Here is a 13,364-nt window from a genome sequence, read left to right on the forward strand (position 1 = left end):
GTCTTGAATCTGCAAAAATGAAGAATCAAATCCCTTGATCACACAGCCAAGTGGTTTGAGTCTTCCAGTTCTGTTGTTCTTTTCTTCTGTCTTGAAAAAGGCCTTGTCAAATCAGAATGAAAAGAATGTTTTGAAGCGTGAGAAAATTCAAATTTCCTATGTAAAGCCTGGAGTTCATTAGCCGGAGTATACGTACTTATTTCAAGGGTCACTGGGTTATGGTGAAGAGCCTGTCTTTCTGCTAGCCAAGTCTCAAACTCTTCACCTGAAAACAGTTTAGAAATGCCTTTAAGCCTATTAGCTTTCTATGGAGCCTAATTCGTCTTTGTTGTGCCTTGTCTTGTGACCGTGTCAAGTCAAGGACCCTGCTTTGATTATGTGCTATCCTTTTTTTCTTAATCACTTTTCAGTTAAGTAATTGTCTCAGTTTAATTGGTTGTAATGATTAAAAGTTTATTTACATTACACTGAAGTTTTCTTTAATCAATCACTTAGGTTCTAACTATGTTATTATTTACAGCTCAATAAAGAAATTTTACCCAAAGAAATAGTCTTTTTAATTGGACTTTTTTTATTAGACTATTTTTATTGTATATGTGCTAAAGCTAAAATCTAAATTTTGGCAAATAAGAGAAATTATTTATTCTTAATATTACAGTTAGACTTGTAACAGGCATTTTATATTATAATACTGAGAGGTACAATGTAATAAGTATTGGCTTCAGAGACTAACAGACCTAGGTTTGGATTCTGCATCAGGACTTGCCAGTCCTGGGACCTTTCTGAACTTAAACTATCGTACCAACCCTATGCAGATTGCCTGAAGATTACTGATGTGTGAATAAGTATAATATTTAATCTAATGGTAGCTATTATTTGTTTCAGCTTTGTCACTAACCAGCTATGTCACTTTGAGAGAGCTATTCAATTTCTCTGTTCAGATTCCTCTGATAAATAAGAGGAAAGGACTAGATACTTTCTACTATTTCTGTCAAAATTCAGGTAATAAGTAAACCCTTTTTATTGGTTTATTTGGGGGGTATAATTTTACATTAGCCAGGGTTTTTTCATGTTAAAATTTTCCCAGGGAGTAGTAAAGGCATTAGTTGGAATTTGGACACTAATATGAGAATAAGTTGACAAAAACAAAATGGTCCTAGGAAATGTTTCGATATTGAATGTTGGGACAAGAACCCAGAGCAAAAAAATCACATTTACAAGACAAAACCACAAAACTAATAGTCCAATAATTTGGTTTAAAAACTTGTATTATAATTCTTTATCAGACTAAACGAGTGATCTTAGAAAAATTGCTGGAAAATATTTATTGACCTGTTTAATCTTAGCTTAATCAACCTGTAGCAATAAGTACAGCAACATCTGATACCTACCTAGTTCTCTAGGTTCCCATGGGGATAAAAAAGAGAACTAAATACATTAAATATGATCACCTCTATACTGTCAATTATGTCTGTCTATAATACATGTGCAAAACTGTCTATCTGCTTTGCAGGGGAAACAATTTTTTTAAATGACTCATAAAGCTCTATCTCTCATCAATAGTAGCAAGTTTTATTTTTAAATTTGTTTTTACTTTGAAACAGCTATACTATTTTTCTAAGTATATTTTTCAAAAGCAGCTTTATTAAGTCATAAATCATGTTTAACAATTCAAACCATAAAGATAGCAACACAAAATTTGAAACATAGAAATATGCACTTTCCCATTTACAAATTGCATCAGAGGAGATACAAACACCTTTTCTCTTGTTTGTGAGTAAACGGTCAAGACACAGAGCAGAAAAATTTCAAAACTAAGTGCTTATATAGATCTTTCCTTATTTGAAACCTATGTACCAAATTTGTAGCAAATAACTTTTATGTGAAAATCAGTATTGTAGATGGGGCTGAAGATATGGCTAACTAGGCTCCCACTAATAGTTTTTCTATGATAGAAAAACTAACCTGAAACACTTATTATGATAAGTAATAACAATAATAAAGTATAATACCAACACGAATACCTGCATTCTGGTGAGCTTTTAATAACAGGCTCGATGACTCAGGACTTTCATACATGATGCCTTACCTGGGAGTGTGCTTCTTGTATTAAATGGAGAAAATATGTATGTAAATATAGATATAGTTTGGATAATTTGAAATTTTATGTAATAAAACCCATTTATCACGGTCAATTAGCTCAAGAAAACTCAATACTGTTTAAAATGAGAAATCAACCACTTTTTAGACAACTAAAAGTATCAAAGCATGACTGACTTTAGAAAGGTGTCCTATGGGAGGAGCCAAGATGGCCGAATAGGAACAGCTCCCGTCTGCAGCTCCCAGCGTGAGCGACGCAGAAGACGGTGATTTCTGCATTTCCATCTGAGGTACCGGGTTCATCTCTCTAGGGAGTGCCAGACAGTGGGCACAGGTCAGTGGGTGCGCGCACCGTGCGCGGGCCGAAGCAGGGCGAGGCATTGCCTCACTTGGGAAGCGCAAGGGGTCAGGGAGTTCCCTTTCCGAGTCAAAGAAAGGGGTGACAGACGGCACCTGGAAAATAGGGTCACTCCCACCTGAATACTGCGCTTTTCCAACGGGCTTAAAAAACGGCGCACCACGAGATAATATCCCGCACCTGGGTTGGAGGGTCCTACGCCCACGGAGTCTCGCTGATTGCTAGCACAGCAGTCTGAGATCAAACTGCAAGGCGGCAGCGAGGCTGGGGGAGGGGCGCCCGCCATTGCCCAGGCTTGCTTAGGTAAACAAAGCAGCAGGGAAGCTCGAACTGGGCGGAGCCCACCACAGCTCAAGGAGGCCTGCCTGCCTCTGTAGGCTCCACCTCTGGGGGCAGGGCACAGACAAACAAAAAGACAGCAGGAACCTCTGCAGACTTAAATGTCCCTGTCTGACAGCTTTGAAGAGAGCAGTGGTTCTCCCAGCACGCAGCTGGAGATCTGAGAACGGGCAGACTGCCTCCTCAAGTGGGTCCCTGACCCCTGACCTCTGACCCCTGAGCAGCCTAACTGGGAGGCACCCCCCAGCAGGGGAACACTGACACCTCACACGGCAGGGTATTCCAACAGACCTGCAGCTGAGGGTCCTGTCTGTTAGAAGGAAAACTAACAAACAGAAAGGACATCCACACCAAAAACCCATCTGTACATCACCATCATCAAAGACCAAAAGTAGATAAAACCACAAAGATGGAGTAAAAACAGAACAGAAAAACTGGAAACTCTAAAAAGCAGAGTGCCTCTCCTCCTCCAAAGGAATACAGTTCCTCACCAGCAACGGAACAAAGCTGGATGGAGAATGACTTTGACGAGCTGAGAGAAGAAGGCTTCAGACGATCAAATTACTCTGAGCTACGGGAGGACATTCAAACCAAAGGCAAAGAAGTTGAAAACTTTGAAAAAAATTTAGAAGAATGTATAACTAGAATAACCAATATAGAGAAGTGCTTAAAGGAGCTGATGGAGCTGAAAACTAAGGCTCGAGAACTACTTGAAGAATGCAGAAGCCTCAGGAGCCGATGCGATCAACTGGAAGAAAGGGTATCAGCAATGGAAGATGAAATGAATGAAATGAAGCGAGAAGGGAAGTTTAGAGAAAAAAGAATAAAAAGAAATGAGCAAAGCCTCCAAGAAATATGGGACTATGTGAAAAGACCAAATCTACGTCTGATTGGTGTACCTGAAAGTGATGGGGAGAATGGAACCAAGTTGGAAAACACTCTGCAGGATATTATCCAGGAGAACTTCCCCAATCTAGCAAGGCAGGCCAACGTTCAGATTCAGGAAATACAGAGAACGCCACAAAGATACTTCTCAAGAAGAGCAACTCCAAGACACATAATTGTCAGATTCACCAAAGTTGAAATGAAGGAAAAAAATGTTAAGGGCAGCCAGAAAGAAAGGTTGGGTTACCCTCAAAGGGAAGCCCATCAGACTAACAGCAGATCTCTCGGCAGAAACCCTACAAGCCAGAAGAGAGTGGGGGCCAATATTCAACATTCTTAAAGAAAGGTGTCCTATTTTACTCTAAGTACTATGACATTTTGCAAAATTGCTAATTCTAATTTGAAATCCTCACCAAACCATGAAATTTCTTCAAATGTGGTTGTAACCTGTTACCTCCAAAGCATCCTTGAGGATATTTGCCACCACTCTTGCAACTCATTCTATTCTCTTCCTAACTACAGCAATATAAACTTTGAAACCTGGAAATATATTCTTTCTCATTTACAAATGCATCAGAGGAGATATAAACTCCCTTTCTCTTGGTTATGAGTAAGGGGTCAAGACACATGGGAGCAGAAAAGTTTCAAAACTAAGTGCTTGTGTAGATCTTTCCTTATCTGAAACCTGTATTCTTCCAACAGTACAAAGCCTTGTTCCAGGCATGAAAAGAACTAACATACTGGTCACATTTCCAGTGATTCCAGTAATCATCAGAGTCAGTGCTAAGGACAAAAGAAAATAAGTTATATTATTTCTTTCTTATGCAGATACTCTGCACATTTATTTATATTTGTATTTTTATTTATTATTCTTACATGAATTGGGAAACTGGGACAATTAGGAAATAACAAGTAATAAAGCTACAGGGAAACTCCTAAACTCTTCTTGAACATACTCCCTCAAAAGAAGGTGTAAGATTAATTTAAACTCTTACATCCTGGGAAAAGGATTAACCTAGCATACCAGAACAAGAGGGAAATGGAATGATCTTGAACTTTTCTTAAAGTAAAGCACTTATCTTCTTTAGGATTCTCAGAAGAACTCAGGATTCTGTGAAAATCTGACTACAGAATGACAAGGAAGAAACATTACTTTGTGTGACTATGTTTTCAATACAGATGGCTAGAGAACACCAAAGGTACCTTTCAGAAGGGAGAGCTAGGAACCCTACTAACAAGTGACAAAAAAGAAACCAAATATTGGTTAGGGATGGAGGAAGTGATAGCTGTGTAGCAGCCAGGACATCCTGAGGCTTATTCAAGTTAGAAAGTGGCGGAATTGGCCGGGTGTGGTGGCTCACGCCTGTAATCCCAGCACTTTGGGAGGCCGAGGTGGGGCATCATGAGGCCAAGAGATTGAGACCATTCTGGCCAACATGGTGAAACCCTGTCTCTACTAAAAGTACAAAAATTAGCTGGGCGTGGTGGCGCTTGCCTGTAATCCCAGCTACTCCGGAGGCTGAGGCAGGAGAATTGCTTGAACCCGGGAGGCAGAGGTTGCAGCGAGCCGAGATCGTGCCACTGCACTCCAGCCTGGCGACAGAGCGAGACTCAGTCTTAAAAAAAAAAAAAAGAAAGAAAGAAAGAAAAAAGAAAGTGGCAGAGTGGCAGAATTTCAACAAAATATTGAAGATGAAGAATACAAAATGAATCTGTAGTCAAAGGTAAAAGAAAATGAAAGGAGTTGGACATGAAAGGTCTCCATTTGGTCGTCGATATCAGGAAACACTACCGAAAATGATGAAATTGTATCACTTCAATCCTGAGTGAAATACACATGAATTTTGGGAACAACTTATTCCAGAGAGAATCCCACCTTCAACCTAATGGGAAGGAAGTAGGAAGTAATTCCACCACTGAGTAAAAGTTCAAAGCCTCAAAGTTTTACTTTGCGTTTACTGTGGGTTTTGGCTTGAGGATCTCAGCATAAAAGCAGCTCTCTATCTCTTTGACAGGCAAAAACTCAACTAAGAGGAACAATGACATACAGAGAGAACTATAAAACTAAACACAAAGGAAAGCTCTATCGATTTCAAGTGGCTACACGTTTTGCTGAGGCTCAACTCTGGTTTTGCCGGGCCAGGTCTCAGGACCTCAGCATCACCTCCTGCCTCAGCCTGGTTGTTACCCTTTCTTCTGGGAGGCTTCTGCTTCCTAGACCTTGAGAAGGTCTGGCAGACACAGCTTAGGAAACTGCCAAAGCAGAGTGGTGGTGATGCCAAGGATGTCACTGCAGGAGAAGAGGGCCTGGGCTTCTGAGCCACCGAGAGCTCACAGGACTGGATCTGACATTCCTGATGCATCACACCGGAACCCTCTTCCTGCAGATACTGTAATCTGTCCTGTAAGTAAAAGAAATAAATTAAAAGCCCTCAAAGACAATAACCATGTGCATAAAGAAAAAAGGACATGACTCTCTGAGCCAAGCCTTTTTTTTTTTTTTTTTTTTGAGACAGAGTCTAGCTCTGTCGCCCTGGCTGGAGTGCGGTGGTGTGGTCTCGGCTCACTGCAAGCTCCGCCTCCCAGGTTCACGCCATTCTCCTGCCTCAGCCTCCCGAATAGGTGGGACTACAGGCGCCTGCCACCACGTCCGGCTAATTTTTTTTAATTTTTAGTAGAGACGGGGTTTCACCATGTTAGCCAAGATGGTCTCAATCTCCTGACCTCGTGACCCGCCCACCTTGGCCTCCCAAAGTGCTGGGATTACAGGCGTGAGCCACTGTGTGCAGCCGCCAAATCTTTTATGTTCTATCTGGGACCAGTGACCCCAGTTTGTTTCTCAAGCTCCATACCCCCAATTCTTCCTACTCCAGGTGAAGAGCTGTCACTATTTTTCTTACGGAAGAGTGACAATCCCAGGATTTTGCCACCCCTACCTCATGGAGAAGGTCAGGAGTATCTTCCTGGGCACTGAGTAGAGTTGGCTTTTTGTCTACAGCCTCATCTTCTTCACTTTGTGGTGGTGTTGAAGGTGTTGGAGGAACAGGGGAGCACTGGGCCTCCATTTTCTCCTTCCTCCTTCTTTTTGTCCTTGTGGCCTTCTTATGATGCCTATACTTTTTGAGGAGTGGGTCTAGCTTTCTCCTCTGGACTGGAAGCATGGCGGGATCATGTGAAACCTCAGCCACACGACTCTCTGGTGTCCCCTCCAATGGCTCTTTTGATGATTTCACACTTCTTTTCAGAGGGTCTTTTTCCCGTAGATGAAATCTCTCTTCTGTATCCTGAGCATCTGCTGATGTGTGATGTGCTCAAGTCATCGAGAACATGTCTTGGGATAGAGATTGGAGATTCCCTATCTTTTTCATTGATGAATTTTTTTTTGACCCACTATGGTGACCCCAGCCAGCTTTGCAGGAACAAGGAGCTCACAACACAAGGACCAAGAGTCAAATGCTGAAGAAAGTAGTTAGTACAGTGAATCTTTCAAGTGATGTATCCTTAGCTATCATAGATACAAAAGATGTACTGATCTCAGATTTCTCCTCTGGATTTACTAAAGGAGTTCAATTACCTCCAGAAAGAGAGTCCTCAGGTTGTTCTTCTTGGCCTAAGAGATTTCACATTTCCTAAAAAGAGAGAGAAAGTCATTGAAGTACTTGCTCCATGGACAATGGAGTTCCTTCTAGTCACACATAACCACAGTTCACAAAAACTCTACCAAACATCATAAATTCCTAGGTAGTAATTATATTTAACAACTTACCAGAATGTGTATCAGAATTATCCAGGGTGTTTGTGAAAATACTCATTTATAAGCTGTACCCCAGACCTACTTAGAATCTCGAAAGCTGGATATAAGGAATTTGCATTTTTTTCCTACTAATTCAGTTGATTTTTATGCATCCTAAAATTTGAAAACTACGTCTTTAGAGGGACACTGAATCCAGTATTTTACAGGGCTATGAAGATGACTGTTAAAAAAATAAAATCTCACTTTCCCCTACAGATATTTCCCTAATGATGTCAGTCCATAATGATATTTCTCCTCTGAAATCTTTTAATCATTATCACTTAATTTGGTATGTTATCCTTTATTACATTCTATTTTAATTTAAGTTTGAAACCTTGTATGTATATCTTCTAACCAGATTATAAGTTTCTCAAAGGCAGGGATGCTCTTAGACTTAGTGTTCCACTCTGGCTTGCCAGTATTAGGAGCTTAGTAAACTGAATGAATATAAATATGAATAGGTTTACGTCCCAGTATAAAATGACTGATGTGAGATGAGACTGCTCTGTAAGAAGAGTTCTAGAGTAACCATGTAAAGAGGACATGAGCCCTGGGAACAACCTAGTCCAACTCCCAAATTTTACAAATGGGGAAGATGAGGCTCAAGTAAGACAGCGACTTGCCTAAAGATGAGGTTGGCAAACTTTTTCTGTAAAGGGCCAGGCAGTAAATACTGGAGGCTCTGTGGGCCATATGGTACTATCAGAAGTATTCATCTCAGTATTGTAGCAAGAAAGCATTCGTAAACAATGAGTAAACAAACAGTCATAGCTATGCTCCAATAAAACTTTATTTTCCCAAACAGATGGTGGTCAAGATTTGGCCTGCAGGCTATAGTTTGACAACCTCTGGCTTAAAGTCCTACAACTAGTTAGCCACAAAACTGAGATTAGAAGTCAAGTCACCTAACTCCCAGCAAGTTCTCTTTCTACAGAAGAGCAGAAGACTAGAATGAGAAAGAATTTTTTTCAGTGAAAAGAAGGGCTGTCAAAGAAGAGGTCAAAATATGCCTGGGCAAATAATACTTCTATGCTCTCTGATGACCCTTAGTCATTTACACAACTAGTTAGCTAAATTCTGAAACTGGACAATTTTCAAACAAATTCATAGATTGGCCTTCAAAAGGGTGAGGGAGGGGAGTTAGGCTCCACATTTTCTATCACACTTGCCTAGAAAACCATGCTATTTAGTCTCTTTTTAAGCAATAGAAAAGCCTACAGATAGATAATGGAAAATACTTTATTTGCTCATCTTTCGAAATTACTGTGACCTGTGAATATGGTTCCACATTGCAGAGTCCAGGGATCAAAGTTTCAAGCAACTATCAGAGAAACATGGAAACTGAGATATGATTCCTAGGTTATTGAAGAAGCTAAAACTTTACTTCCTAAACCAAGATGCTCTTTAATAACAAAGGTAGTAAGAGTATTAAAGATTAAGTTCCCCAAAGTCTTGAGAGTATTTTTAAATTTGGGAATTTCTGAGAACTTTGAAGTCCATCTTGAACTTTCTGTTCTATTTTTACTCCACCTCTAACGTGCTCCTCACCTGTCATTATTTTGCCTTCACATAGTAGATGCTGAACAAATATTTGTTGACTTATAAATTGAAGGATTAGTGAAAGAATGAATAAAACAAATGCTTTGAGAAAGTTCCTTGGCTCGTGGCTATAGAGAATAAAGCAGGACTGGCAATTTCTGCCAGAGGATATTCAATGCTTTTTTGTTACCCTTCGGCGAAGCTAACAGTGCCTTCACATTGCAAATGTCAATGAAAGTTTCATGAATGAATTAATACATTTGATGTAGGCCACTTAAGTTATAATTACCTGTCACAAAAGATGGTATCAAAAGAATTTATTTACTAATATATTAACATGAAATTCTTTATATTAGTAATTGGGTTTCATTTAATACTGCTGGGAAAGTTTGGTAAAATCTCTGAGAGGGAAAAAGCCCCATGTAATATGACAGAATGCTGGCCCACCTTCTATCTGTTCCCTCTATCAAGAGCAACTATAGAGGCAGCAACTATAAGAGCATCAACCACAGAAGCCCCCAAACAGGTGGAGATAGGACTAAAAAAGGAGTAAACGTGACAAATTCAAGCCTCAAAAAGTCAACCTTGCTTCTCCATCACCTTAGAAATGGCCCTGAGTTAGGCTCACATCATGCTTCAAGTGTACTTTTACAAGGTTCTACTCTGAGTCTGGCCTCTGTTATTTGGAATCCACCCTCCATAAAAGAGCTAGAATGTATCTTTCTAAAAGAAATCTGATCATGTGACTCCTCTGACTAAAGCTCTGCTCCCTACAGGTCCTTGATGATCTGATTCCATGCCATCTGTCCAACTTCAACTCCAACACTCACCCTCAGGTATCTTATGCTGCTGCAGAAACAGACTGCTTGCCATTTCCTGAGAGCACCATACTTCTTTAAACATTCATCCTTTTACCTGCCATGCCCCTGCCCCTCTTCACTACCTGGCCTACCTATATTACAATTTCTAAGAAAATTAGCTGACTTCCTCAGGCAGAAAAAAATTGATTTATATTCTTGCATAACATTCTGTCCCTAAAAATACCATTCGACTGAATTATAATAAGCTGTTTAACTATCTATCATCTTCAAAAGGCCTGGAGTTCCCTGAGGAACTCTCTAATTACTTTATCCCTAGCATCTCCATGGTGCTTGGCACCAGGAGGGCATTCAGTCAATGTTTGTGGATTTCAAAATGCAAGTTTTTATAGACTGCCTCCCAGAACCTGGGCTCTAGGGGCCAATTCTCCCCTTTATCTGGGCCTCTTTCTGAGGAGGACAAAGCTGAACAGGTCTGGCTAGGTACTCAGAAAAGAGCTGCTCAGGTAGTGGTTAACACCACTCAGTCCAATTCTATTCTAGAAGCATTCTTCCACCCACATTCTTATTAGAATCATACGAATAAGGAATGCTACCTAAGGAGGTCCTTTGGTCATTCAGACCCCCGGCTCCCCTGCAGGTCCACTTCCTTCCTGCCTTATCAGATTTCTCTATATTCCTGGTAGACCCTCAGCATGCCGTGGCCATCCCTACCTCCCTATGCTGGTCCATGTGGAGCCTCCCTGAAATCTCAATGATCCCTGCGTTTTCAGTTTTTAACCCAGAATCAGCTGTCTCATCCCCAGAGAACAACACCCAGCATCTTCTGTTTGGTGTCCCTATCCTGAGGAACCTCTTCCCCTAGGACTAGATGTGCTGACATGCAAGAATGCTATTCAAACCACATGGATCTTTTACATAACAAGATGCAAAAGAGGTTTGTACCACATGAATCTCACTGAGTCTGGAACACATAATTTCCCTGGATTTCACACATTAGAAATAATTGGGTGTATAAAACATATGAATTCACATCACAATCTGAGTCCATTTGTCTCCCCAAACCTGTTTCACTTCAACTTTCTTTGTGAATAATTTTTTCCCCATTTTCACCTATTACCCTAGGCAAAGCTGAGAGGTTCACAGCCCTTAGATGAATTTGCTGCCTAAGCAGACTCAAAGCCAACTTAGAAGTCTTAAACAACAAATTTTTGGCCACTAAAGTTTTAAATGGTCCTGAAGTAGAGACTAGAGAAAAAATTCACTAATCATTATTGACAGTGAAGTGACTTTCCTTCTTTAATGGGAAAGAAATGATTGGCATGAAGCAACTTTGTTTCTCAGTGACTCGCTAGAGAATTAAATAACTGAAGCATCAAACAACAATTTTCTTTGAAGATGACCTTTTTCATATTAAATGAAAAGCTGAAGAGCTAGTCTCAAAGGAAAAGTAAATGAATAATCTGTGAGGGCAACTATTCCTTCCTGAGTAGACAGTTAAAAAAGAGAGAGAGAGAGGGAGACTAAAATATAATAGTAAACATCACAGACTGTTGCATTACAAATTAAGTGCATCTTCCATTTTCAGGGTAACACTGAGAGTCTACCACGAATCAGACACTAGAATAGGAGCTCTTCAAGATGGTTATCAAAAAACTTAAACACTCATCAACATAATTTAAATAGTTGTTTTCTAACGTAGCAGACATCAGGGTCACATGGAGGGCTTTCAAAATACATCACTGGGCTCCATCCCTAGTGTTTCTGATTCTGTAGGTCTTGATCCAGGAGAATTTGCATTTCTTTTTGTTTGTTTGTTTTGTTTTTTTCTTTTACTTTAAGTTCTGGGATACATGTGTAGAACGTGCAAGTTTGTTATATAAGTATACATGTGCCATGGTGATTTGCTGCACCTATAGACCCATCATCTAGGTTTTAAGCCCCGCATGCATTAGGTATTTGCCCTAATGCTCTCCCACACTTTGTCCTCCAACCTCCAACAGGCCCCAGTGTGTGATGTTCCCCTCCCTGTGTCCATGTGTTTTCATTGTTCAACTCCCACTTATGAGTGAGAACATGTGGTGTTTGGTTTTCTGTTCTTGTGTTAGTTTGCTGAGAATGATGACTTCCAGCTTCATCCATGTCCCTGCAAAGGACATGATCGCATTCTTTTCTATGGCTGCATAGTATTCCATGGTTTATATATGCCACATTTTCTTTATCCAGTCTATCACTGATGGGCATTTGGGATGGTTCAAAGTCTTTGTTATTGTAAATAGTGCTGCAATAAACATACGTGTACGTATGTCTTTATAGTAGAATGATTTATAATCCTTTGGGTATATACCTAGTAATGGGATTGCTGGGTCAAATGGTATTTCTGCTTCTAGATCCTTGAGGAATTGCCACACTGTCTTCCACAATGGTTGAACTAATTTACACTCCCACCAACAGTGTAAAGTGTTTCTATTTCTCCACAGCCTTGCCATCATCTATTGTTTCCTGACTTTTAATAATCATCATTCTGACTGGCGTGAGATGGTATCTCATTGTGGTTTTGATTTGCATTTCTCTAATGACCAGTGATGATGAGCCATATGCAGAAAACAGAAACTGGACCCCTTCCTTACTCCTTATACAAAAATTAACTCAAGATGGATTGAAGACTTAAATGTAAAACCCAAAACCATAGAAACCCTGGAAGAAAACCTAGGCAATACCATTCAGGACATAGGCATGGCCAAAGACTTCATGACTAAAACACCGAAAGCAATTGCAACAATAACCAACATTGACAAATGAGATCTAATTAAACTAAAGAGCTTCTGCACAGCAAAAGAAACTATCATCAGAGTGAAATGGCAACCTACAGAATGGGAGAAAATTTTTGCAATCTACCCATCTGATAAAGGTCTAATATCTAGAATCTACAAGGAACTTAAACAAATTTACAAGAAAAAACAAACAACCCCATCAAAAAGTGGGTGAAGGATATGAACAGACACTTCTCGAAGACATGTAGGCAGCCAACAAAAATCTGAGAATTTGAATTTCTAACAAGTTCCTGGGTAATGCTACTGGTCTGCAGACTGCACTCTGAGAACAGCTGCAAGATGAGGCACACTGACACAAAATAATTAAAAAAACAGGAATTTCTAACCACTTACAATGACCAAATGTGAGATGCATAGATTCTGAAATGATTATCTGGGGAATTGTAAACTCCAGCCATGCTGTCCACCATCTTGGGGCTTTTCAGAGAATATAGCCAAAGGCAATATGCCTGAAATGTGGGTACTTTTGACATTGGATTTGCCAACAGGTCTTTTCTCCATGAGGACCTCAGCACCCAACATCTCCCCTCCCAGGTTCAACCTCAGACTAGTTACAAAGCTCCAAAATGCGAATGTCAATGAAGTTGTCTAACTATTTAAAGGCTAGGAATGCACATATAAAGCAGTCACAAAATAGTTTTACTTTTCTAAATAAAATAATTGAGTATCATCCTTTTGTTAAGTACCTGCTCTTTACT

General features: G+C 40.0%; 1 long non-coding RNA gene across 4 annotated transcripts in view, besides 1 other annotated feature; it reads right to left on the minus strand.

Annotated features, from left to right (window-relative positions):
- Positions 1–1,624: 1,624 nt before the first annotated feature.
- LOC151760 (putative uncharacterized protein) overlaps positions 1,625–13,364 on the minus strand; it is a 183,623-nt gene continuing 171,883 nt past the window's right edge. For all 4 annotated transcript variants that reach the window (XR_007096272.1, XR_007096273.1, XR_924329.3 and 1 more), the window contains 2 exons: positions 6,619–7,311; positions 1,625–6,084 (listed from right to left, as the gene is read on the minus strand). This is a non-coding gene — a long non-coding RNA (putative uncharacterized protein LOC151760). The remainder of the gene's footprint in view (positions 6,085–6,618; positions 7,312–13,364) is intronic.
- Positions 2,550–3,165: an enhancer, noted in NCBI's record as "OCT4-NANOG-H3K27ac-H3K4me1 hESC enhancer chr3:110607916-110608531 (GRCh37/hg19 assembly coordinates)". NCBI's record gives its function as "activates a minimal SCP1, AML or CMV promoter by ChIP-STARR-seq in primed H9 embryonic stem cells {active_cell/tissue: H9 hESC(primed)}" and the evidence as "EXISTENCE:reporter gene assay evidence [ECO:0000049][PMID:30033119]".

This window comes from Homo sapiens, chromosome 3 (genome assembly GCF_000001405.40).
Source record: "Homo sapiens chromosome 3, GRCh38.p14 Primary Assembly".
NCBI classification, from domain to species: Eukaryota; Metazoa; Chordata; class Mammalia; order Primates; family Hominidae; genus Homo; species Homo sapiens.